At 38.7% G+C, this 27654-nt stretch overlaps 1 protein-coding gene across 23 annotated transcripts in view; it reads right to left on the reverse strand.

Annotated features, from left to right (window-relative positions):
• CEP112 (centrosomal protein 112) overlaps window positions 1–27654 on the reverse strand; it is a 556597-nt gene that overhangs the window by 94989 nt on the left and 433954 nt on the right. For 18 of the 23 annotated variants that reach the window (XR_007065281.1, XR_007065280.1, NM_001353128.2 and 15 more), the window contains 2 exons: window positions 20137–20199; window positions 12543–12692 (listed from right to left, as the gene is read on the reverse strand). The exons of 4 other annotated variants lie outside the window; for them this stretch is intronic. Coding sequence is in view for 16 of the 19 variants with exons in the window: in NM_001353128.2 (NP_001340057.1) it covers window positions 12543–12692; window positions 20137–20199 (213 nt within the window). In the remaining 3 variants the exon portion in view is untranslated. Of the gene's footprint in view, window positions 1–12542; window positions 12693–20136; window positions 20200–27654 lie in introns of those variants that run through there. One more of the 23 variants, XR_007065282.1, reaches the window with a different exon arrangement.

Genomic DNA, 27654 nt, shown 5'->3' on the forward strand with positions numbered 1-27654 from the left:
ACAAAGAAAATGCCACTTTCCTTGTGCCCTACGGACGTGCATACAGGGGAGACAGGAATTAAGTAATGAACAGGTCCCAAACAATGCCATTTGATGCTAGGCATCGAGATTTCTTCCTGTTTCTCAATGCTACTAAAACACCACAATGAGGTTTGTAATTTTATTCCTTGGGAAATTGATTCCTGTAAGCTTTTAGGACAGTAAGAATTGCCCAATCTTATGAAATATTCTACAACCCCCACCCCCCGCCCCCAACCAAGCCCTTCTGGTAACACAGACCAGATTGCTAGATGTCCTACTGGCAGCTGACCTTGTCTTGTGAACTCCAGTCAGTAGCCAAGGGAGAGAAGCATCAATGCTGTAAAATCTCTTTTCTATGCCTGCAAGCAAAAATTTTACAACATTTCTTCTTGACATGAAATCTCTGCTTGGACATCTGGCTTCACAGTGAGAAACTTTCAATACGCTAGCTTCAAAGAAAGGACTTAGCCCTGGTGGTGCAGTGATGCCAGAAGAATGTTCCACAGTCTCTTTAAAGAACTATTTCTAACGTTTCCCCAAATGAACTTCTGTGAGCTCAGTGGATAGTGCCAACTCACATTTAGATAACTTGGCTTTGGCATACAGCCTTTTGTGGGCATTGCCCCTGGAGTATACAAATTGTGTTCTTAGATAATACAGGCATACCGCGGAGATACTCCAAGTTCAGTTCCTGACCACTGTAATAAAGTGTATACCATGATAAAGAGAGTCTCGCATATTTTTTTGGTTTCCCAGTGCATATAAAAAAGTCATGTTTACACTATACTATAGTCTATTACGTGTGCGATAGCATTATGTCTAAAAGAACAATGTATATACCTTAATTAAAACTTTCTTATTGCTAAGACATGCTAACAATCATCTGAGCCCCCAGAGAGTCCTAATCTTTTTATTGGTGGAGGGTCTTGCTTTTGATGCTGATGGCTGCTGACTAATAAGGGTGGTGGTTGCTGAAGGCTGGGGTGGCTGTGGCAATTTCTTAAACAAGATAAAAATAAAGTTCACTGCACCAATTGACTTGCTTTCACGGAAGATTTCTCTGTAGCATGCGATGCTGTTTGATTTAACCACAGTAGAATTTCTTTGAAAATGGGAGTCTATCTTCTCAAATCCTGCCACTGCTTTATCAACTAAGTTGATATAATATTCTAAATCCTATGTTGTCATTTCAGCAATGTTCACAGCATCTTCACCAGGATTAGATTCCATCTCAAGAAAACATTGTCTTTGCTCACCCATAAGAAGCAACTCTTCATTCAAGTTTGGTCATGAGGTTGCAGCAATTCGGTCGCATCTTTAGGCTCCATTTCCAATTCTAGTTCTCTTGCTATTCTACCACATCTGCAGTTACTTCCTCAAAGTCATTTGTGAAAGTTGGAATCAACTTCTTCCAAACTCCTGTTAATGTTTATATTTTGACCTCCTCCCATGAATCAAAAATGTTCTTAATGGCTCTAAAATGGTGAAGCCTTTCCAGAAAGTTTTCAATTTACTTTGCCCAGTTCCATCAGAGGAATTACCATCTATGGCAGCTACAGTCTTATGAAGTGTATTTTTGACATAAGAAGACTTGAAAGTTGAAATGACTCCTGGATTAATGAGCTGGAGAATGGATGCTGTGTTAGCAGGCAAGAAAACAACATTCATCTCCTTGTACATCTCCATCAGAGCTCTTGGGTGACCAGGTGCATGGTTAATCAGCAGTAATTTTTTTTAAAGGAATCTTTTTTTTCTGGGCAGGAGGTCTCAATAGCAGACTTAAAATATTCAGGAAACCATGCTGTAAACCAAGCTGCAGTGCAGCCTTTCTTGTTCCACTGAAAAAGCACAGGCAGATTAGATTTAGCATCATTCTTTAGCATCCTAGGGTTTTTGGAATGGTTAATGAGCCCTGGCCTTAGTCACCAGCTGCACTTGCCTTGAACAAGAGAGTTAGCCTGTCCTTTGTAGTTTTAAAGCTTCTCTAGTAATAAAAGTCCTAGATGGCATCTTCTTCCAACAGAAGGCTGTTTCATCTACACAGAAAATCTGTCATTTAGTGTAGTCACCTTCATCAATGACCTTAGCTAGATCTTCTGGGTATCTTGCTGTAGCTTCAGCACTTGCTGCTTCACCTTGCATTTTTATGTTATGGAGATGGCTTCTTTCCTTAAACCTTATGAACAAACCTCTGCTAGCTTCAGACTTTTCTTCTGCAGCTTCCTCACCTCTCTCAGCCTTCACAGAATTGAAGAAATTTATGGCCTTTGCTCTGAATCAGACTTTGGCTTAAGGAAAGGTTGTGGTTAGTTTGATCTTCTACTAGACTACTACAATTTTCTCCATATCACCACAAAGCTGCTTTGCTTTCTGCCATTCATGTGTTCACTGGAGTAGCACTTTTAATTTCCTTCAAGAACTTTTCCTTTGCATTCACAATGTGGCTATTTCGTACAAGAGGCCTAGCTTTGGGCCTGTCTCGGCTTTCAACATGCCTTCCTTACTGAACTTAGTAATTTCTAGCTTTTGGTTTAAAGTTAGAGATGTGTGACTCTTCACTTGAACACTTAGAGGCCATTGTAGAATTATTAATTGACCTACATCAATATTGTTGTGTCTCAGGGAAGAGGGAAGCCCAAGGAGATGGAGAGAGATGGGGGAATGGCCAGGAAGTGGAGCAGTTAGGATACACACAACACTTATTGTTTGTTGTCTCCCATGGGTGCAGTTTGTGGCACCCCAAAACAATGACAATAGTAACATCGAAGATCACTGATAACAGATCACCATAACAGATATAATAATGAAAAGGTCTGAAATATTGCAAGAATTACCAAAATGTGACACAGAGACACAAAGTGAGCACAGCACATGCTGTTGGAAAAATGGTGCCAAAAGACTTGACACAGAGTTGCCACAAACCTTGAATTGTAAAAAACACAATGTCTATGAGGTGCAATAAAATGAAGTGCAATAAAACAAGGTGTGTCTGTATATACAAGGCGCACGATATTTTTTTAGAATCTGCATAATTAGGCAAAATATATGACGGTTACCACAAGATCTGAGTTCTCTCCCCATATCTGCTATACCATTACAAAATATTTATGAGCTTGCTGCCACTAAAAATAAAATGACATGAGAATAAATGACACTATTTGTTATCAGAACCTTTTATGATTTATGAGGGAACATCATTCATTTATTCTGTGTATTTCCAGCACTTCCATCGAAACAAACATTGCACTAAAGCTTGCTCTCAAAAACCTCACAGTCTAGTTGGTGAGAAAGACAATTCATCTAAATACAGGTCCACAATGTTCTATCTGCAATCCTGAAATCCAAAAGTCCTCCGAAAAACACAAATTCTTTTTGAAAGTCTGCAGTTAACTTCTTTGGGAACAAAACCTGACTGATGTTGGGTGGGTACTTATAATCTCTACTTGTCTCATTCACTGGGGACACTCACACATTTCACTGTTCCTGTATGTGTCTGAGTAGACTGTGCTGTCCCAGGACCCACTGCAGATACAGCACAAGCACCACTTTCCTAGAACCTGCAGATTCGGACTGGGTGAGGGATTGTGGGTCAGCACTGTAATACAGCAAACACTTCATTAGAGGGATGAACGAGGTTGGCACGAGTTTCTCACTCTGATGCTTCGCAGAAAAGATGACCTTAAGTCAAAGGGAAAGGATACTTTACAAAGAACTCATGGGCATTTCCCATGGGGCATGGGATCATAGAGAACATGGCATCTATGTTGAGCACTGGCAGCTGATGAGGGAGACTGGAGGGTGATGTCTAGACAAGTGGTTCTCCAAGTATTGGGTTTCAGGATTCCTTTCCACTCTTACAAACTGACAACCCCAAAGAGGTTTTGTATATGTGGATTACATCTACTGAGTTTATCATATTACATATTAAAACTAAGAAATATTAAAACATTTTACTCATTAAAATAGTAATAAACTCATTATGTGTAAACATAAATATAATATTTTAATAGAAAAATAACTATTTTCCAAAGCAAAAAAAATTAGTGAGACAACTAGCTATGTTTCATTTTTTGCAAATCTTTTCAATGTCTGATTTGATAGAAGGCAGCTGATTCTCAAATATGCTTCTGCTTTCAATCTCTTGCAAGATGTTATTTTGATTGAAGAATAGGAAGAAAATCTAGTCTCACACAGATAAGAAGTTAGAAAAGGGAGGAGTATTTTAGCAGCCTTTTTAGATGACTGTGGATATTTTTGTTAATATGCCAAAACTTGACAAGTGGTAGCTTCTTAAAAGTTAGTTACAATGTGGAATCTGAAACTCTATCAGTGAGCTTTTCATACTATTACACTAACATCCATTGGTCTCTTTTGTATTTTGAATGGATCTTTTACTCAGGCATGGTTTTGTAACATCAGGTGTTTGTCATTTGGAAAACATGGTTCTGTGAGTTATACAAATCTTCCAAATGTTGATACACTTCATTCTCTTCCTTCCCCTTTCTTCCCATTCACATCACTGATAATATCACTGATCTTATCAGAAAAGTCTGTAAGTATTGTGAGGCTGTCAGGCTCACAGTGGTGGTATTAGTTTTCCAAAATTCTAATTTTGGCTTGAAAGCTTAAATTTTATCATTAGCAACAATATAGTCAGTTGTTATCCTTGAAATGCCAGGCTTGTTTCATTTCATTCATTTTCAAGAAAACATCTGCCAAATACTCAATTGTGAATAAGCATAGCTTGCCTGTCAATCGTTCTTTCAGAGTGACTAGAGTTCAGCTCATACTCATACAGACACAGAACTACTTTTCTCTAAGACAGCCATCCTACTTCAGTATGCAGCAGAAGTGCTTCATGTGTACTTCCTACTAATGTTAAAAGAGATGTATCCTCGAGGTTTGAGATTTAACAAAATCAATACAGACGCTCTTCAACTAAGATGGTGTTAAGTCTCAATAAACCCAATGTAAGTAGAAAATATCGTTAAGGTGAAAATGTACTTAATATCCTGATTAACCTATCGTAAAGTTGAGAAATTGTAAGTTGAGCCACTGTAAATCAGGGACCATCTGTATATTTTATTGCTTTTTATTTTTAACCATAAGTACATGGTAGTGAAGAAAATAATGACTAGTCATATGGTTTCATGTTAAAGCCTTGTTTTGTGTGAAGCCACCAGCAGTTTTACCCACCACTGCTTCTATATCATCTATGCAAGTATCAATATAGTAAAAATGGAAAGTGATATCTTTGTGTTATTATGAAAATAGTTTGACCTTGTGGGGCCATTGTAAAGGTCTCAGGGACTCATCGGAGTCTGCAGAGAATACCTTAAGAGCTGCTGGTTTAGATCATAAAGTGTTTTGTATGCCATATTGACAAGTATAGGTTTTATCCTGTAGGTAATGGAAAGCCATTGATGAATTTTAAGAAAAAACAACATGCCCATATTTGCGTTTTAGAAAAGTTACCTTATCAGTAGTGTGAGGCATAGATTTGAGAGGGTCGAGTTATTGGCAGTGATTCTAGATAAGGGTGATTGTGCTAGGCAAGGTCAAAGATGATGATGATCTGACCTAGAAGGTAGGATCTAGTGATTGGGGAATGGGGTATGAGTTTGGAGATATTTAGGAGTTTTCTCTAGGAACTGACCTATGAGAGGTAAGGGAAGGAAAGAATTAATTCAGGGGGATTTCTAGGGAATCTGACTTCCGTGAGTAGGTGGATGACGGTGGTACTTTAATTCAGATAACCAATACAAGAAGAAGAGCAGGCTGGGGCTGGGAGAAGAGCAAGAGGAAGATTAATTCAGTTTATGACAGCTCTAGATTGTACAGTCTATGGTCCATCCAAATGGAAATGCCCAGTAGTAGTCAGAAATGCGGATTGAGGGCTCAGGAGAAAAGTTTGAATGGTGATGAAAATTCAAAATTCATTTGTCTGGAAGTTAACATGAAGGGATGAGATTGTCCAGGGACAATCCAGTGTATATAGAGAAAACAAAATAGGCCCTAACTAATACCATTATTTCAGTGCAAAAAAGAGGAGATGGGAACAAGAATGGGAAAGAGGGGTTCCGAAAGGTAGATGCCCCAGGAAAGTGCTGCCATAGAGCTAAGGAAGTTTTTAGAGGCTAGTCATGTGCAGATTAGATCGTTGTTCACAGATGTTCACGGTCTTCTAACTAGAGTTAGTATGTAATTTCCCTGCCTCATTGACGTGGACAGAAATGAGGCTGAGGATGCAGGGATTTCTTTCAACCCATCCTCTTGCACTTCTGTAATCTACCATTAACAGGATATTCCGGACAACTACTAGTCCAAGCTGACTGTACAGACATCTAGAGCTGGCCTGAATCTGATCTAAAGCCTGGAGTCAAACCCAGTCAGTCAATGCACATTCTGAATTTGAGCCACAACAGCGACCCGCAGACATGTTCCAAGAAAAATAAATGTGAGTGAAAGTCACTGAGTCTCCAAAAGTGTTTGTTAGGCAGCATTATTGTGGTAATATCTGAGCAGCAGAAGATCCTTGTTAAATGTTATAAAGAAGTCAAATAGACTTCTCAAGATTAGATAGTAGATTGAATGTTCCTCTCCCAACACCAAATAAAATGAGTAAAGAAGAGTAAAAGCTAGCAAAAATGCACCAACAGAACAATATCGGGTGGTAAGGTAGACATCATACAAAAAACCATCAAAAACCTGGGGTCAAGGAAAGAAATGTAATTCTGGAGCACAGTGAAGAGTTGCACAGGGGCTCAACTTCAAAACTTGCCCATGCCCCTAGGATCATTATGTTGTTATGAGTCAAAATTCTGAGAATTTTCAATACTATCACCAAATCTGGAGAGAAGCAAATGGCATGGCAGCCTCATTTTTTCCTCTTCTGGCTGACAGTAGGGGAGACGGATGTGGTAGAAAAACAGATAAATATCAGGGCTGGCTACCTCTGAGGAAAGGACTTCAGAGATGTACACCAAATTGGGATCATTACAAACTCAAAGGAATAGAAGATGCCGCTTCCATGTAGGTAGTGTGAACCCTGAAACACACTTAACATAATCTCAAAGTGAGAACAGTCAGTTCAGCCAGATGCATGCTGGCTTGTGCGCCAGCTCTGCCTTCCCCTTCCCTCAGGTCAGAGAACACACAGAGACACTACAAGTCAGTTTCACTTACAAGGAGAACCACTATGCTTCAGAACCATTTGCTATTGAATACTGAACATGTAGACATATCTCAGTCGCTTACTGAATTTATCCTGGTTAATCTACTAAACTTACATGAGAAAGAAAGACTTCTTCAGGAATGCCTCAGAAAATGCAAATCACTTCTAAGGAGGTGCATTCAGTCTATGTCTGTTGGTCTGCAGACAGAAAAGTCTGCGGGGTCATGTCTGCTGGTCTGTCTAGCCCAGGCTTCTCATAGCAACCTTAAATGCTCGATGAGCCGTGTTTACACATAGGAAGAAAATGTGAACAGAAACACCGCACCCATGTAACATGCCATTCAATCATACAGGTTAGCCAGAAGACATTCTTAAACATGAAAAAACTCAGGGAAGACAGCACCATCCAATCAATTAAGAAACAAATCAAAGTAAAAACTGTGGGAATGGCGCCACTATGGTAAAAGGCCTAGTATAAACACTGCATAGATTGAAATATAGCATGAGAATTAAACTATAGGATATGGTTTAAAAATTGTGAATATCATAAACCCGGACAGTGTGAAAATACTACTACTATCCAAGGTAGGAGGTGGCAGGGAAGGGTTACGGCAGAAAGTATAAGGGTGCAAAAGTACACATTTTTCAGCCAAAATCAACATGTTCTGTCCAAAAATTCAACAATTCCTCTGTTTTACTCTAGTTTCTTTTGTCTGTTGAATTAAAGTAAAATTAAAGATTTTTCTAAAACAACAAAAAAAATCAATAGTATTCATTTCAAAAGCCTACTCGGCTTTCTGTTCTTTTTCCCTTATACATAGTAGGATATCAGAAATAATGTTTACCTTAATTCTATGGTGGTTATTTCTGGGTGATAGGATTTGGGGTGACTTTAAAAACTGTTACAGTTTTTTATTCTTGCATTTTAAATTATTTATAAATGAGCATATGACATTTCTACTACTTCAAAAACAAGAGAATAGATTTTCTTTATAAAAAAACATGGATGCAAATATGCCGCAATGTTAATTAATGTTGATTACAGGTAGTAGGAATATAGATATTTTCCTCTTTGTACTATTTTGTATAGTTGAGGAATAAATGGGAGATAAAAACCGGACCTTTAGTATAGACTACTGTGGTAGATTTAAAATGGCCTCAAATTCTATGCCATTCCTCCCACTATTTCTCCTCTCCTAGATTGGCCACTATTTCTCCTCTCCTAGATTCTGGGCTGGCCCTATGACCTATCTTGATCAATCGAATGTGGTGGAAGTGACTTTGTGACTCTTCCTAGGGCAGGGCTTAATGGAAATACAGGTTCTGCTTTTACCCCTTTTAATTATTTCTCTTTGACATCAGCTACTAGGTGAAAAGTCTGATTAATCTGTTAAAAAGGCCATATGGCATGGGCCTGAAACCAGCTCAGACATTCCAACCCCAGCCAAGCTTTCTGCTGAATGTAACCTCATGAGGCACCCCAGCCAATGCCACACATTGAGCAGATGAACCACCCAGCTGATCCCTGCCCAAATTTCTGATCCAAAGAATTATGGGCAGATAGATGTTGCTCTAAGCCATCAAGTTTTTGGAGTATGCAGTGGTGATAATTCTTTTGAAAGGTGTGACTTTGAACATAAGGAGTGAGCTAAGGCAGTAAATAAGTGATAAAGAAGATTTTTTTGCTCTTGATTTTTAAAAGATAGGGTGTTACAGCATAAAAGATCTACTCTTGCCAGGTGTGGTGGCTTATGCCTGTAATCCCAGCACTTTGGGAGGCTGAGGTGGGCAGGTCACCTGAGGTCAGGAGTTTGAGACCAGCCTGGCCAACATGGTGAAACCCCATCTCTACTAAAAATACAAAAATTAGCCAGGCGTGGTGGTGGGCACCTGTAATCTCAGCTGCTTGGGAGGCTGAGGCAGGAGAATTGCTTGAACCCGGGAGGCGGAAGTTGCGGTGAGCTGAGATCGTGCCACTGCACTCCAGCCTGGGCAACAGAGCAAGACTCCATCTCAAAAAAAAAAAATCTACTCTTACGAATTTTGTTCGTTTGTGTAACTCTTTTTACACTAAAGGAATTCTGTTTTCTAAAAGACCTTACTTCATCTGTTGTTTCTTGGACAGTGAGGATCATGCCTGCTGTTAGTCTCACCTACCACTATTCCCATAATGTTCAATGGATTTCTTCAGGCTGGTAGCTTTTCCCTTTTTACCAAACAATTTTTATTGCTTCTCTGTGCAAAAGTGCTATTATAGTTTAAATATAGATAAAATTAAAAAATCATAAATTCTACCACTCAGAGATATCCATTAGTAAAATTTTGATATAACTGTAGTCTTTTTTTCTCTTGAGTTATACTTTTGTTTTGCAAAAATGAGCTCATATCTATATGTTTTGGGATGTGCATTTTCACTGAAAAATATCATGTGAACATTTTCAATATCCTTATATATGCTCTCCAACGTCATTTCCTATAGTGCACAGTTTTCAGTGTATTTGCTATAGTTAAAAATATAGAAAGGATATAGAGAATGCTGGTGTTGCAGGTACCTGTCACATAAGAGGAGCTAAATAAATAACTATTGACTGAAAGGATGAAAGCTAGAACAAGCATCTTTTTGATTAGCTAAAGCTTAGTGCGATTATTAATTGCCACCTTTGGGCAAATTCTGAAAATGGTCAAAGGCTAGGTATATCTCTCAGGCAATTTAATAATGATAGGTATTGCCAAATTATCCTCAAGAAATGTTTTATCAAGTTATATTGCACCTGACTGGTGACCCTTTAAGTGGGTTTCAGTATACCTCAAATTTTCTCTAGAATTACTTTAATGATTTATCTGAGGAAGCATTATTATAAGCTCTGACAGAATGAGTACTAGGTTTACTCTCTGTCTCCATTCTTGATCACCAGCTTGAAAGAGGTCAGTTCATCATCAACCCAGAAGTGGAGTGAAGTATGTCTCACAATTAGCATGCACGCTACTTTTATGGCATTATTGAATATATCTGCAGACAAATGTATTTGGTCCCAGAAAATCAAGCCTCATAGTGGCTGTGCCTCTCTCTGAGTATCAATATCTATTCATGTACCTAAATCTATGTGTACAAAACACTTAAATATAATCAGAATGTCCAAATCAAACACCTGTTGCAAAAATGTTATATCATTCATGCAGAGAGAAGAATAGAATGAGAATATCTATCTAGGTTCATTTTGGCACTTGGTCATTTGACTCATTTTCATGGACAGAATGTAGTACACTGGGGTATGGTATAATAGTTAATAGTTGAGGCTCTCAAGTAAGACAGATTGTGGCTTGAAACTGCCTCTGCCAACTGTTCAGCAGGATGATCTTGGGCTAGTTATTTAACCTCATAGTCACAGTTTCCCCATTTGTAATATGGGGATGACAGAAATACCTTCCTCATGAAGATTACCATAAGGCTTAAATGAGATAATGGAACATGAGATGAATGAAAATGGCAGAGCCTGGAACATAGTACGTGATGAGTAAATATCAGCTGTTATTCACAGTATTTTTTGTGATACAGCCTTAAAAAAAGAGCCAAGGCAATAAACACTAATGAATCAATTACCTTAGCAACTTTAATATAGGTTAGTAAAAAAGAAATGTCATTTACTTTATGTATAATCTAAGTGAGTGAATCAAAACTTAGCTATATCTTACCTATATTGTAATTTTAATATTTTTCAGGTAACATATGGTACATATAGTTTTTATATATATTATAAAACTGTAAGAATTAATAACTAAATTATTATTAAATAATTTAAAAATTAAGTAATTTAAAAATTAAATAATTAAAACTGTAAGAATTAGTTTAAAATGAGCAACTGTACTAATTATAATTCTTTCAAGATTTTTTTAATCATCAAGAAACAATACCAGAACTATGCTGTCAGGAGTATATTCATATTTTCCATTTTTGCTTATATTTAGATTTGATTGCTCATTTAAAATTTGGATATTACCTACTACTTGGTATTTGGACATAAAGTGAAACAGAAATGCACTTAATATTTAAATTTTATAGAACTAAAACAATTTAAACAAAATATGCAATGCAGTTTATGTGAAGCAAAACAGTTATATAGATCAATGGAGGCACTTCCTGTGCATTTGTAAATGAAAAAAACTTGAAAGATGTTTTTAAACCACCAGAATATGAAAAAAAAATCTCTCTTTTTTTTTTGGTCTTATAACACAGGTAGGGGAAATAAGCTTGCAGGTGGAAATACATAGGAAAAATGTCATTAAAAAAAAAAAAGTCCTCAATGGTAAAGTGAAGAGGCCGGATGTAATGGCCTTGAAGGTTTTATCCATCTGTTAAGGCTTTTTATTCTATCTAGTGTTGTCTCAGCTTAAAGGGAATATATAAAAAGCAACTGACATTAACACTAACTCTTCCCAACGTTACTCAGATTGCCTGCAACAGGCTATAGAAAAAGAAGATGCAGAGGTGAGGCAGGAAAGGGCAGCTGTAAAACCCCAATTTTTCTTTTATTGTTCTTTGCTTTGTATGATTACTCCACACGCTTTAAGTATTGTTATGTCAAACTAAAGTCGCTGAAAAATAATCTTTTGCTGGGAATTCTTTAAAAATTTTTTGTTCTCTTTTAAACCTTATTTATAAAGGTTTCCAGATGCTTATCCTCACACATTAAACCCAGTATGATGTAGACACATACAATAATATTCACTGCTATGAAGCCAAGAAAAAACTACTTGAAGATCTAACTGCCTATCACTGAAAGAATCGGGGTCCAGAGAATTTTCTGGTGCTATTAAGGGTGTGATTCTCTGAAGTCATTTGGAAACAACCTAGTTTCTCAGCAGCAACACATCTATCCTGTACTGTGTCAAAGCACATCAAATGGTTGGCATTCCAAGCATCGAACAGGTTATTTCTCATTATGCGAATACATAATGAAAGGATGTGGGCAAAGAACAGAATGCAAATTGGAAGCTGACTTCTGACTTTAACAGCCAGCAGTGCTGGGCTCAAACAGTCATTCTAATTTCAAGAGACAATTCCAAAGTGGTTCTCAAGAGAAAGGACAGAGTATTTTTAAAATATTTGTTCAATGTGAATGGATTGGGCTTGCCAAAAATGACTTTTTATGCTGGCATGCGATCTCTTAGAGGGAAGTCAGCCTGAGTCACTGGATACATCAAAGGTAGAGTCCAGTGAATGGAATTACTGCAGGCTGTGTGAACAAGCCAGATACCCGCATTCATCTGCCCACTGCTGGGATTTCAGCCCTCCTTTTAATTACATTAAAGCAGCTGGTACCACTGGTTACTGAAGTCTTCAGATTACCTTGATTGCTTGGTCATTATCTCTAATCAGCTGCTTCTTCTCATCTTCAAACTTTTGTCTAACATCCTGGAGCCGCCTTTCTGCAGCAAGCTGCTGCTGGCTGTTCTCTTCTTTCAGAGAGGAAATGGTTGTCTGAAGTTCTGCTATGATCTAAAATGAAAACAGCATGCTATAACTTCAAATTCTTCTGGGAGAGGCATCTATTTTATATGTATTGATGCTTAACAAAAGAATGGATTTGACAAAACTCTATTCCACAAATTAAATATTTTCAATTAACATATCACACACTATAATGCATGAAATACCACACAATAAAAGACTTTAATAAAAATGTGAATGGTGAACAACTGCTGAACCAAATATACTTGGAAGACGTTTCCACTCTAACATTCCACAATATTTACTCATCAGAAGAAAGAACATCTGTGATCTCAAAAATATGAAAAGTGTCAGATTTTATTTTACTGAGAAATATACTTATTAGAATGAGAAAAGCTATTCTGCTTTTCATAATACTTTGAACTGTAATAACCAAAGAAAATAATGAACAGAGTTTATTCTTCAGTCACCTAATTCTATACAGTAATTTTTGGGAATTCACTAATGTTTGTGTATTGTGTTTAACACTTTAAGTTCTTATGTCATTTACTACTGTGAAACAGGTATTATTATTGCCTTTTATTTTTTTTTTTAATTTTAATTTTTTTTGAGATGGAGTTTCGTTCTTGTTGCCCAGGCTGGAGTGCAATGGCGTGATCTTGGCTCACTGAGACCTCCACTTCCTGGGTTCAAGTGATTCTCCTGCTTCAGCCTCCCGAGTAGCTGGGATTACAGGTGCCCGTCACGATGCCCAGCTAATTTTTTGTATTTTTAGTAGAGATGGGGTTTCATAATGTTGATCAGGCTGGTCTCGAACTCCTGACCTCAGGTGATCCACCCACCTCGGCATCCCAAAGTGTTGGGATTACAGGCGTGAGCCACTGTGCCCGGCCTGCCTATCTTTTATAAATGAGGAAACAGAGGCACAGAAAGAGGACAAATACCTTACGTTGTTGAAAATGACATCCAACTAAAGAGACAGGCAGGATTTGAACCATGCAGTCAGACCAATCACTGCACTAATTGGGTCCTTTAACCTGCCGACTTTATGGGTTTTTTTGTGTTTTTTGTTTGTTTGTTTGTTTGTTTGTTTGTTTGTTTTGAGACGGAGTCTTGCTCTGTTACCCAGGCTGGAGTGCAGTGGTGCAATCTCGGCTCAATGTAACCTCCACCTCCCGGGTTCAAGTGATTCTCCTGCCTCAGCCTCCTGAGTAGCTGGGACTACAGGCCACCAGGCCTGGCTAATTTTTGTATTTTTAGTAGAGACGAGTTTCACCATATTGGCCAGACTGGTCTCGAATTCCTGACCTTGTGATCTGCCCGCCTTGGCCTCCCAAAGTGCTGGGATTACAGGCGTGAGCCACCATGCTTGGCCACTCCGTTATGTTTCTTTAAAACAAGGTTTTGGTATTGCAGGGAAGTTTATACTTCCAAATAGGTTGTCCTCTTCCTAACTCATGGATAGTTATTTTGGTTTACATGGTGCCATTTTCATTCACTCCTGTAGTATTCCCTGCATTTAAGAATCTGTTCTCTCCAGACAGCGTTCTTCTAACTTCTCAAATTAACCATCTGATGAGAAACTTTTATATTTAATTGGCCTTATGAGAGCACTGTCCTTCCTTTGGTTTGGATGTATCCATTTCCTTGCAAATTCAATAGTGATGACTTTTTAAAAGCAGGAAATAGTTGTTTCTTCTAATAAAAGAAACAACATTAGACCCACGTTAGAATATAATTCTTTTGGTCCTAAGCAGAGGGGAGGGCAGTTGGTGAGAAACTCTGGACAAGTTATCTTTCTTGAAGCTCAGTTTTTCCAACTATTATTTGGTGACAAAACAAGATTACAGCATTATAAGGCAATAAATAGAAACTGTCTGGAGTCCCCCAGAGGCCAAATGCTATAGAAATACTAGTTGTTACTACTGACATAAATAATAGCATCTTGACAATAAAATATGGAGTATTTATGCTTTGAGAAGTGAGCAAATTCACTATACCAAAGTTTGACACTTGGAATTTGTCAATAATCAAATATTTAGCCGATTGTGAAATGACAAAATATATAATAACAACATGTCAATATTATTACATGCAAACTTCAGCCTTCTGCTATGAGTGGAGGCATTCATTTACTGAGAATGAAGATGTTTTCATCCATTTTCTGAATTTTGATTAAATATTGTTTCCATTCTGGCATCAATTCAATTAATTCTCATAGCACTTCTGTGAAACAGGAAAGGTTAAATTCTCATAGTAAATGTCAAAAATTGATGCAGAGAACAATCAACTCACAGTCACAGAGCCAGAGGAGCCAGGGATAAAAAAGAGTCAGATTTCCTTGGCCTAATATGAAATTTAAGATTGATCTTTTATGAGAACATGGGGCCAAATAGTAAAAAACAACTTACTATTTCAATGTTTTAAGCTGAGTAAACTATAACTTTGTAGAAGTGGGTTTAATTCTGGAGAGAGAAGGAGGGCAAGGCAGAGAATGACAGAGAGAGGGTGCGTGTGTGTGTGTTTAGTTCTGCGCAGTTTAACACATGTATAGATTCATATATCCACAACTGCAGTCATGTGATATATTTTTAAAGTACAAAGTAATTTTTTCTTTAAAAAATACTAAGATTGAGACTAGCTTGTAACTGACCAAAGAATAAAGATAAAAATATCCTGGGATACTTCAAACGGTCAAAGGCCATGGAACAGGGACATTTCTCATTTTCAGAACATTTAGGACAAAATAATTCAGGTTTTGAGGCGGCCGGATCACCTGAAGCCAGGAGTTCGAGACCAGCCTGGCCAACATGGCGAAACCCCGTCTCTTCTAAAAATACAAAAAATTAGCTGGGTGTGGTGACACATGCCTGTAATCCCAGCTACTAGGGAGGCTGAGGCTGGAGAATCACTTGAACCCGGGAGGCGGAGGCCGCAGTGAGCCAAGATTGCGCCATTTCACTCCAGCCTGGGCAACAAGGGTAAAACTCCATCTCAAAAAAAAAAAAAAAAAAAAAAAGAAAAGAAAAGAAAAAAATGCAGGTTTTGGAAAGGACTACAAGTGAAGTCCAGGATGTTCTAAGAAGGACGTGCTTGCTTTTGTGTGGAAAATAAAACCTTACATTCTTTGGGGGAATAAGGAGAGATTCCTCTGGGGAAAATAATGAGATTATTTTTGGAAAGATATTTTTAAAACTTAGGAAGGCGATATAAGGGGCAGAATGTTAAAACACTTCAGGTGAAACACTTGGCTAGATAAATAGATAAATTATTTGGTTAAAAGACTCACAGGTGATACGGATATGGAACAGTAACTAAAATAAGGATAATTAAAAAAACAAGATTTAATACTTTAAGATTGAGAAATAATCATAATAATCAGATTAACATGCTTCAGGTAAGGAACAAAACTCTACTGGTTGTAGACCCAGAGTATAAGAAAATGGACTACTTTCTCCTTAGCTCAGTGTATGTAATAACTGGCACCCAGTTTAAGTGGTAGAACTATAATCATGGTAAGTAATAAAAAGCCATCACCTGGCAAATTGAATTCAGATAACCTACCCTTCTCATAGAATAATAATGTTAAAAGTTTCTAAGAAAAATGAAAGCTAATATATACAATCATAATCAAAACCCTCCAGTTTTGATTGAATCATAATTAAAAACCATAGAACAAAATGCTAGCACTCAACTAAATGTTTATACTGTATTAGTTTCAATGAAAGAAGCAGATTAGAGAATTTTCATATGGATATTAAAAATTAGTATTTTCAGAAACAAAAAGGAGAGCTATTTTGAGCTGATGGTGTAAGCATCCGAACTCATGAAAGTCATAATAGTTAATAATAATTGTTAAGCAATTAACGCTTTGCAAAAATGTTAGTGGTCTTAAAAAAAAAACAAAAACAGGATCCTAAATAGGGGTTAGGATTTCATCTTCAACTCATTCTATTGCTTTTCAGTTTGTAGTACAGTTTGAGACTTTTATAAAACTCTTCTTTAAAATATAATACAATAAAGAAGACAAGCTACTTAAGAAGCCATGCTTAGGAACGTTAGGTGAACACTGACGCTCCTCACAAAATAAGTGGATGCCTTGTGCATTCTGGGTTGGCCCCCAGGAGGCTGGCATAGAGATGGGCACAGGGGTCATGTGGAATATTCCCAGGTACTAATATGCATCAGGCATTGGGTAGTGTGGGACAGTGGTAGGAGACACTCGTCCCTTGGCAGCAGGCAAGCTCAACTGACATTCCAACTTCAGTCCTGCCCATGTTTCTAACTATGGACATTCTGGCAAAATGGCAGTATCTTTCCTTGAAAAATGGCCACTAGGTGACTAGGCTGAGTGGGGAAAACTATATTAATATTGAAGAGGCAAGGTTAATACATAATCACTTATTATTTCAATGTTTTAAGCGGACTAAACTCCAGCACTCACCACCACTGCAGTGTATGCATCGTCTCCATTCTTTTCTTAAGATAAAAAAAAATGTGATTCTGATGGAAATGATATTTGGGGGCGTGCCCAGAGATGATGCAAACACTGCAGTGGTGGCGAGGGTGAGTGCTGCAGATCTCAGAACGGGGCACAGGTCTCAGGTGTGCCAAAGTTTCAGTGTACACGGTCTATTAGGTCCTACAGGCTTGATAAAATCATGAAAAGTAAGCAGCTTCCTCTAAAGGAGGAAAATCTTTAAAATATTTTCCAAATTTAATCTTATGCTCTCTGAGGTACCAACACATTCATTACTAATGCATTCATTTTCTTTTTTTCAGAGAGGGATTTTTAAAAACCCAACAGAGTTAAGCACTTTGCTTTTAGTGTTCTCATCAGCCTAATGAGATATGAGTTAGAGATTCCAACAAACTATCACTTAAATATGGAGAGATCCAATCCACAGTCTTGTTTTATAATGCTCATTTTTAAATAATCTGACATGCTTCTCTGAACTGACTGGCATTGTAGACTAATGCTTCTCAAATGCCAGTTCACAGATATAAATATTTAGAAGTTGGCAAACAAAATATTATCAATGTAAGGTTATCATCCTAACTTTTATGAGAAGGATGGACTATCTTTGATTATATTACATCCTTTCTAAGAATTTTTTGGTGTTGCGCTGTCCCTTGATTAATGAAATGATGGTAATAGTATATGATAGTTGTTACTAGTTGCTTTTTCCTTCTCCACCTTCAAGTCTTTTCTTGGGAAAACAGTTAGCAACCCTGTGCCTCTCCAAGCTTTTCAGGGAGATTTTATCACCTTGTGAACACCCAAAAACATGGTGTCTGAAGCAATAATTTGTTCCACCTTCCAAACCTTTTTTCATTCTTCCCTGCCTCCTTTCCTCTTTCTCTATGGCAATTTTAGTGCTGATACTATAATAATTCACATTCGTTAAGTGCTTTAGTGTGTACTAGGTACTATACTGAACACATTTTTGGCATTGTTTTACTTAATAGTTAAAACCATCCTATGAGGTTAGTACTGCTCCTCCATTTGACAAATGAGGAAATTGAATTCCAAAGAGGGCGGGTAACTTGCTCAAGGTCACGGAAGTGGTAGGGCTGGTATTCAAATCCAGGGGTGCTGGACTCCAGAGCTCAGGCTTTCTTCTGCATTAACTTACATTTAATTTGTTTTAACATCAACTAATCAGGCTTCTTCATACATTCCTTTAGATAAATACTCCTGTTTACACTCTCATTATTTAGGCATTTTTATTAGCTATCTTATATCTCACTCTCGGTCTGCTTCCCCCATTTAACGTAAAGCGAAATAAGCAGGATGTTAGGATATGCCAACTGGGGATTTTTAATGTTTTAATTTAAACTTTAACTTTTGGCCTAAATAGATTTCTTTTGATTGCAAGAATCTTTTTCAGTGGATTAAAAGGATATTTCTCCATGTTCCTTCCTCAAGGAAGGGCTGGAATAATGGCAATCAAGACATAATCATCATTTCTTACATAAACATATACGACTCTTCATTTGGACAAAGACTTTTTGCTTTTCTAATGGGATGTGAATTAGTAGAACTGAAATTTTAGGCCAGGTGCGGTGGCTCATGCCTGTAATCCCAGCATTTTGGGAGGATGAGGAGGGAGGATCACCTGAGGTCAGGAGTTCAAGACCAGCCTGACCAATATGGTGAAACCCTGTCTCTACTAAAAATACAAAAAATTAGCTGGGCGTGGTGGCGGGCACCTGTAGTCCCAGCTACTCGGGAGGCTGAGGCAGGAGAATGGCGTGAATCAGGGAGGTGGAGCTTGCAGTGAGCCGAGATTGCACCACTGCACTCCAGCCTGGGCAACAGAGCGAGGCTCTGTCTCAAAAAAAAATAAATAAATAAAATAAAATAAAATAAAAGGAAGGGATTGGGCCAGGCTGGTAGTGTTAAGGTTAAGAACTTCCACTTTGAAGTCAGATCCAGACTGGGTCCTGGCTGAGTCACTTGCCAACTTGTGTGATCTTATCTCTCTAAATCTCAGTTTTCGCAAATGGAAAAATGGCACCAGTAATAGTTCCTAATTCCAGAGTTATTGTGAAAGACTGAATGAGTCAACATGGTTAGTGCCCCATGAACATTAGATATTATTATCTTTTTGTTGTTGTTGTTACTACTATTATGTGGCATTATGTGGTAGTATGGTAAATTCTAGTTTACTAACCAAATACCACTGTATATATATATAAAAATATGAAGACAAGCTGATTTTAACAATCATTAGATATGCTCACAAAACCAAATGGCTTAACTTACCTACCTGCAAAGTAAAGATAAGTAGTATTTATTTGTTCTAGAATCACTTATACAAGTAAGGAATACTTGGAGTTCCTTAAATGATACTACTGGATATCACTATAATAACTTATGCTGAAAAAGTACTCTGAGCATCATATTTCAAATAGAGACAGGCATTCAATTATTGGCCTTTCTTATACTAAAACTACAACAGTAAGTACAAATAGCAAGTTATGGATGTAGGGACTTAGAATTCTCTTTGTCCTAAAAAGAGTCAACAGTTGAGCCGCAGACTTAACCTAGAATTATTTGTCATTTTGAATTTTGTTTGAAGAAGCCTTTGGTAGAGCAAAATGGAGTATTACCAAAAAAGCACAGATAGTACCAAACTGCTTACATCACAAATGTAGGTGTGTATCTCCTGTCCTTGTGAAGTATGTTTCAGCCTGGGCTTGTTCAAGTGTATAGGCTGGTTTTACAACATCTGAGAGTGTGTGTATGTGTGTGTGTGTGCATGTGTGTGTTGTTTCAAATGGTTAAATATGCCTAATTTTTCTTGATTTTTAATGACTGAAATATTAAAACCATATTGTTTATTTGTATACCCATAAAAATATGATACCATTCCACAAAAAAAAACTGAAAAGAATGAAGTTTAACTTGAAAGTGCCAAGGCTTTTATGTGGAGGTTTCATTTTTGTTTTGGTTTTACCCTGTTTTGTGTCTTTTAATGTTGCTTACCTGTGAAGATTTGGCAAGCTTCTGAGTGTATTCCTTCTCAATCTGCTTCAGCTTGCTGTTGGCCTGAAAAACACATGTACATGAACACATACACAGTGACCTGTGAGCTTGGTATCTCTTCCACATGCCTATCACCAGGCAGCTGGGATGCCTGCCAGCTGCACCGCCCTTCTGGGGCAGCCAGAAAACCACAGGGCTTGTCTTTGATGTTACGCCAACTATTCATCACTTAAAAAGCAAAAAAAAAAAAAAGATCTCTTCTGCCAATTATTAGACAAACATAAGACTTCTGTGGATAGAAAGAGAAAGGGAGAAAGAGAGACAGAAATAGACACAGCAAAAGTATGAAGGCTCAGAAGGTAAAGTAAGGGAAAGAGAGAAGAAACAAGAGGGGCAAGGAAAAGGGAGAGGGAAGTGAAGGAAGAAGAAAGGAAGGTAAATTTAATACTTTTTCACCTTAATTAAAAAAATAAAAGGAATAGATGCTTCTGGACAAAGGAGATATGGGATTTTGAGAATCACTGAGCAGAGGTGAGCCCCTACTCTGCCAAATACATAAGAGCTAATTTTTACAGTGACAAATGTATCTAAATCAAACAAGTTTTAAGTTTTATGTCCTGGAAATAGGGTGGCCTTTCCACAATCAGTCCACATTGCTTAGAACTTGGTTATCCCCTCTGCCACTCAAGTTCCAATTCTTTTTATGTGATCTGTTTTCTGCTCTCTGGAAACTTTTGGGATCTTTATTTCATCGTCAAGGTTTAAAAATGTCACAGTGACGTGCCCTAGACTGTGTCTTTTCCCCATCAATCATGCGGGCACTAAAGAGGCTCTTTCACTCTGAACTTGTGTCCTTTACTACTGGGAAAGGCTGGTCATTACTCTCATGATTTCTCTCGTCTCTCTGTACGTCTGTTTCTCTCCCTGAGTATGTCTCTCCCTGCAACTCTGATTTTGTACCTCTTAGATTTAGTGTCTCTTTTTCTTGTTGTTTCTATGTTCCATTTGTCTTTTTGATTATTCTTAGAATTTCCTCAACTTTTACCTAAAACTTTATATTCTGCCATCATATTCATAATTCCCAACAGTTCCTTTTTGTTCTTTGAACAGCATCATCATTAACATCCCTCTTTTTACAGATGAGAAAACGAAGACACAGAGAGGGTAAGTAACTTGCCCAGCATCACACAGCTAGGAAGTGATGAAGCCAGGACACAAACTCACACTTTGGCTGCAGAGCACAGGTGCTCCACCAGTGAGAGCACTGCGTCATGCCTTGCAATACAGTCCTTCTATCTATCTATCTATCTATCTATCTATCTATCTATCTATCTATCTATCTACTGTTCCTTTCATCCATCCATCCATCCATCCATCCATCCATCCATCCATCCATCCATCCATCATCTGTCTATATGTCTATAACTATCTATCTACACATATATTTTAATTTTTTTCTGCTCAGTAGAGTGTGTGTGTGTGTTTCTGAGTTCCCTTTGTTTATTTACTTTCACCTGTCTGTTTTGGTCTTTGTCTTTCACTTTAGATACTTTCCTCAAATATCTGGTGATCTTTGATGTCCTTTCTTATTCAAAGTGAGGTCTCCAAAGCTGGATAGAAGAATCTTGCATATATGTATGGGTTTGTGGATGGGTGGGCATCACTGCAGGGTGTGTTACAAAGGGGCCTGGACTCTCCCATGCCAGCATCTGACTGGATTTCCCTCTTGGATCAGTTTGCCCAGAGCTGCATCCTCCAGTTTCCTGCCAGGCAGCACAAATCTGATGGCCAGTATTTTCAGAAGGGCATCAAGGTGTTCAGGAGAGTGACTCTCGTGCAAGGCTAGCCTCACATTTCTCCTCAACTGTACCTGAGGCCCTTTCTCATTCCACCTCTCCAGAGAACAAACCAGGGATAGGGATGGGGGCAGTCTTGGGATAAAATCTGGGCCATCTGTCCCAAATGCAGACTTTCAACCAATCTTCCAGTTCTTCACTTCACCCCATACCCAGTCTCTCCAATTCCTGAACCTTCCCAAAGTTCTACCACAGGAAAGATCTTGCTGCTTCTAATGGGTATCCTTCAGGTCTTCCTTCCCCCAGAAATTGTTCAGTTTTTAGGATTATTAGTTCTGCTAAGTTAATTTCAGGCCCAGCCTTTTTCAAGTTCTCAATGCTATTGATTTCTTATGTGTATGGTTGTCTCTTATTTTCTTTGAAAAAATATATAGTATAAAAATCTTGATGCCTGAGTCTCATCTGCAGAGGTTCTGATTCAATTTATCTGGGCTACAGGCTGGACACTAGGATTTTTAAAAATCTCTGCTGCTATTTCAAAAGTTCAGCCAAGGTTAAAAACCACTGGTTCATGCCTTTTTCAATTTCCTTACTTTCATTTTGATGGGACTTCCTCAGGGAGTAGAGATAAAAACAGGTGAGTTCTGTCCACTACCTTTAGTTGGAAGCAAATGATTTGTTTATTTTCATATCACAAATAGGGTGAGGAAGCAATCCCGTGCTCACAGCCCACTCCAGGCTCACCTCTATGGTAGTACTAAGGCTGAATTAGTCATTGTTGGTTAACCTGTCTTTTTCCCACTAGATAATGAGATCCTAGAAGGCAGCTCCTAGCCCCTAACATAGTGTTTGGGGCATAATTGTCCATCTAATGAATGAGTGGATGCCGTACAAGCCCTTTGCCTCTTCTATCGCCTCAGTCCATACCTTTGAAGTTTTCTTTTCATAACCATTTTTTTACGGACTTAAGTTCAAAACCAATTCTTTAGAGTTCATTCCATAAATCTCTTTGTATCTATAATCCCATCGAGTACACAGGGTAGTTCTGTTTCTTCCAGAATAGAGAGGGCATGTGACTATTGCTATTTTTCTAGTAAGTCATCAGACTTGACTCCAGCTCTATTATGATTAAAGCCACTCTCCACCAGAATTAGGGCTACTCTGAACCTCTTGAGGTTTATTTGTCTTGGCTCACATTCTGTCACTATTTTTTTTTGTCACAAAATGCTTAATAAAGTATTTGTTGCTTTTAAAATAAACGCTTAATAGAACTCATACCATGTCCCAGGCACTGTTCTAAGTGCTTTAAAAATATTCACCCACTAGAAAATCTAAAAATTAATTCTAGTGTCATAAAGATGAGGTTACTTTTCCCTAAAAATGCTAGAGTCACGGATAATAGTTAGTGCAGGAAGGCCTGTGTCTTGGTGTGAGCTACTCTTCATGAGTTTATGGCCAGCCCCCAAATCTCACAAACCCAATGAAGCTCCTTTATAACTAAATATCCAATTCATTCATCCACTCTAGGCAGCTGGACAGCAGCAATGAACAAAACAGCCAAGAATCTCTCTCCATTTTTATGAAACATCTAGAGAGTAAACAAAGTAACTTTGAAAAGTTACATGGTGCAAGGCCTATGGAGAAGTATCAATCAAGAAAGAGAGAGAGGAAGTGATAAAAGTTAGGGGGTACTTTATAATTTTAAAAATACTGAAGTAACAGATGGCCTCCCTGAGAGGGTGACGTATGAACAAAGACCTGTAGGAGATGAGGGTAACCTCTAGGGAAACAGCATTCCAGGCAGAAGGAAGAACCCATGCAAAGGCCCTGAGGCAGAGGCATGCACAGCATGTTCAAGACACAGTATGGAGGCCAAGAGCAGTGGCTCACACCTGTAATCCAGCACTTTGGGAGGCTGAGGCTGGCAGATCACTTTAGGCCAGGAGTTCGAGACCAGCCTGGCCAAAATGGTGAAACCCTGTCCCTACAAAAAATACAAAAATTAGCCAGGTGTGGTGGTGCATGCCTGTAATCCCAGCTACTTGGGAGGGTGAAGCAAGAGAATCATTTGAACTGGGAGGCGGAGGTTGCAGTGAGCTGAGATCGTGCCACTGTGCTGCAGCCTGGGCAACACAAGCTTCTGTCGCAAAAAATAAAATAAAATAAAATAAGATAAAATAAAATAAAATACAATACAGTGTAGAGGTCAGTGTGGTTGGATCAGTGCAACCAGTGGAGCACTGGCTCCTTCAGACAACACAGGGCTGTGAGAGAACCAGGTCCTGCACGGTGTTGAACGTGATTGTAAGGAATTCGGCTTTTAAGATCACTGAAACAGAGCCACTGAAGGGGTTTGTGTTAGTCCATTCCTGCACTGCTACAAACCAAACACTGCATGTTCTTACTTGTAAGTGGGAGCTGAACGGTGAGAACACATGGACACATGGGGGCGGGACCCACTGGAGCCTGTTGGGGGTTGCGGGGAGGGAGAGCATCAGGAAGAATAGCTAATGCGTGCTGGGCTTGATACCTAGGTATGGGTTGGTCTGTGCAGCAAACCACCATGGCACACGTTTACTATGTAACTAAACTGCACATCCTGTACATGTAGCCCAGAACTTAAAATAAAAGTTGAAAAAGAAAAAAAAATACAAATAAAAATAATAAAAAGAGAAATACCCAAGTCTGGGTTAATTTATAAACAAAAGAGGCTTAATTTGCTCATGGTTCTGCAGGGTGTACGGGAAGCATGGCTGGGGAGGTCCCAGGTAACCTGCAATCGCAGTGGAAGTTGAAGGGGAAACATGCATATCTTCACATGCCCAGAGCAGGAGAAAGAGAGGTGGAGAGGTAATACACACTTTCAAACAACCAGATTGCATGACAACTCACTCACTGTTATAAGAACAGCACCAAGGGGGAAATCTGCCCCTATGATCCAACCACTTCCCACCAGGCCCCACATCCAACACTGGGGATTACAATTTGACCTGAGATTTGGGCGGGGACACACACCCAAACCATTTCAGGGTTTCAGTATAGGAGAAATATATCCTTTGACATAGGTTTTAATAAGGCCACTCCAGCTTTTGTTTGGGGCAAGAATGAAGCAAGTAAGACAGTTAGGAGGGTACTGCAAATAATCTAGGATGGCAATAGAGGAGGTGGTGAGAAGGGGTCAGATTGGAGAAAAATTAGAAAGTAGAACCAACTGGACATACCGTATAATGGAAAGAGATGAGTCAAGGATGACTTCAAGATTTTTGTCCTAAGCAACTAGATGAATGAGGTTGTCATTACCTAACATGGGAAAAGTTACAGGTGAAATAGGGTTTGCAGAGAAGTTTAATAAGTTTGTACTTATTAAACTTGGAGATGCCTATTAAATGTGCAGTATTGAAGTATCTGGGTATTCAAGTCTTGAGTTTATGGTTTAAGGTCTAGGTTAAAACTATGAATTCAGAAGTCATCAGTTTATATAGGGTGTGTGAAACCATGCTACTGGATGAGATCCCAAGATATCCAGTGTATATACTGGATGAGATCCCAAGTATACACAAGAAAGCAGAGGTCTAAGTATACTCAGCCCTGGGCCTGCAAATGTTAGGAGGCTGGGACATGAGGAGGAAACAGACAGAAGTAATAGCCACAGAGTCAAGAAATCAGGATAGGCTGGTGGCTCATGCCTGTAATCCCAGCACTCTGGGAGGCCAAGGCAGGTGGATCACCTGAGGTCAGGAGTTCGAGACCAGCCTGACCAACATGGTGAAACCCCATCTCTACTAAAAATACAAAAAAATTAGCTGGGCGTGGTGGCGGAAGCCTGTAATCCCAGCGACTTGGGAGGCTGAGGCAGAATAATCACTGGAACCTGGGAAGTGGAGGTTGCAGCGAGCTGAGATCGTGCCATTGCACTCCAGCCTGTGTGATGCAGCAAGACTCCGTCTCAAAAAAAAAAAAAAAAAAAAAAAAAAAAGAAATCAGGATAATACGGAATCTTGAGCCAACTGAAGAAAAGTGTTTCAAGGACTACTCAGTTGTGTCAAATGCTACAGAGAGGCCATAGAAAGTGAGGCCTGAGAATTGATCACAGTAGTTTGGCAACATGGAGGTCACTGGTGATAAGGATAAAAGAAATTTTGTTGTAGTGGGAGACATGAAATCTGGATTAAAGGAAATTCAGAGAGGAGAGGCATTGGAATTTGTTCAGAATTTTATTAAAAGGGAAGGTGAGAAATGAGATGGAAGCTGCCCAAGAAGCGGGTGAATAGAGAGGTGAATTGTTTTGTTTTTTGGTAAGTTGAGGAAATTAACAGCATGTTTGTAGGCTGATAGGAAAGATCTAGCAGTAGAGAGGGAGGAAAAAAACCAGATGATGCCAGAGCTTTCCTAGAGACATGTCCTTGAGTTAAGGGGAGGGCTATGTCATGGAGTGAACTGTGTCCTCCCCAAATTCCTATGTTATGTTGCAACCCTAAACCCCAATTTGACTGTATTTGGAGATAGGGCCTTTGGTGAGGTAATTAAGGCAAAATGAGGTCATAAGGGTGGGGCCCTACTCCAACAGGATAGGTGTCATTATAAGAAGAGGAAGAGACACCCATCTTTCTCTGCCTGTCTCTCTGTATGCACACACAGGAAAGGAAACAGCAAGAATGTAGCAAGAGGCCTCAGGAAAGCAATCCTGATACCACCTTGATCTTGGGCTTCTAGCTTCCAGAGCTGTGAGAGAATGAATTTCTATGGTTTAAGCCACCCAGTCTGTGGTGTTCTGTTATGGCAGCCCAAGCCAGCTACTACAGGGTGGGACGAGGGGAGGAGATGGCCTCTGCTGGAAGTGCAGGCAAATGATCCCCCAGGAACAATGATGGGAGCTTCTGATTGCTCTCATTATCTCTGCAAAGTAGGAAGAAAGATTCATCAGCTGAGCATGAGGATGGTAGAAAACATCTTTGGGAAATTTCAGAAGTGAAGGAAGGCATAAAATAGTCATCTAAAAAAAGCAGGAAAGGGAAAAGACAGAGAAATCCAGTATGAGTCCCAGGACTCCAGGAAGCATCAGGACCCACTTGAAATTGCCAATGCTGAATTTAAAATGAGGCCAGTCTGTACAGAAGCACTTCTGGAATTTGCTAACAGCTAAATAGAGTAGAATCAATACTTTAGAGAATACGAGTAACCAAAGGAATAAAATTAACTGATCAACTTTTGTGGTTTTTACTATTAATATTTTCTTCAGTGTAAATCATAGCTGCCTGAATTCCTGAACCCCTCTTATATAAATCTAAAAAGCTCTGGTTTATCATGGTTGAAAATTCATGGCTAACTTATCAGGCAAACTGTCCCTAAAGCATTTTTTGAATAGCTTTAGTATCAAGATGGTACTGAGTGTACATTTCATTTCCCTGCTTAAAGGAAGGCTTAGTTATTTTAAACCAAGTCTTATTTTTATAGCTATCATTTGTATATAGAAACACAATTTTTAAACAACTACCAGCAGCATAACTTGAACAAATATATAACAGAAGAGGAGGGAACCACAATTTGGGAACCACATAGTGAGACAGGGTCTCACTATGTTGCTCAGGCTGGACTCAAACTCCTAGGCTCAAAGGATCCCTCAGCATCGCAAGTAGCTGGGATTACAGGTACATGACACTGCCCTTGGCTCTGCTCTATTTTTATTATTTCCTTTCTTCTGCTACTTCTGCAAAGTAGTAGT

This window comes from Homo sapiens, chromosome 17 (genome assembly GCF_000001405.40).
Source record: "Homo sapiens chromosome 17, GRCh38.p14 Primary Assembly".
Lineage (NCBI taxonomy): Eukaryota > Metazoa > Chordata > Mammalia > Primates > Hominidae > Homo > Homo sapiens.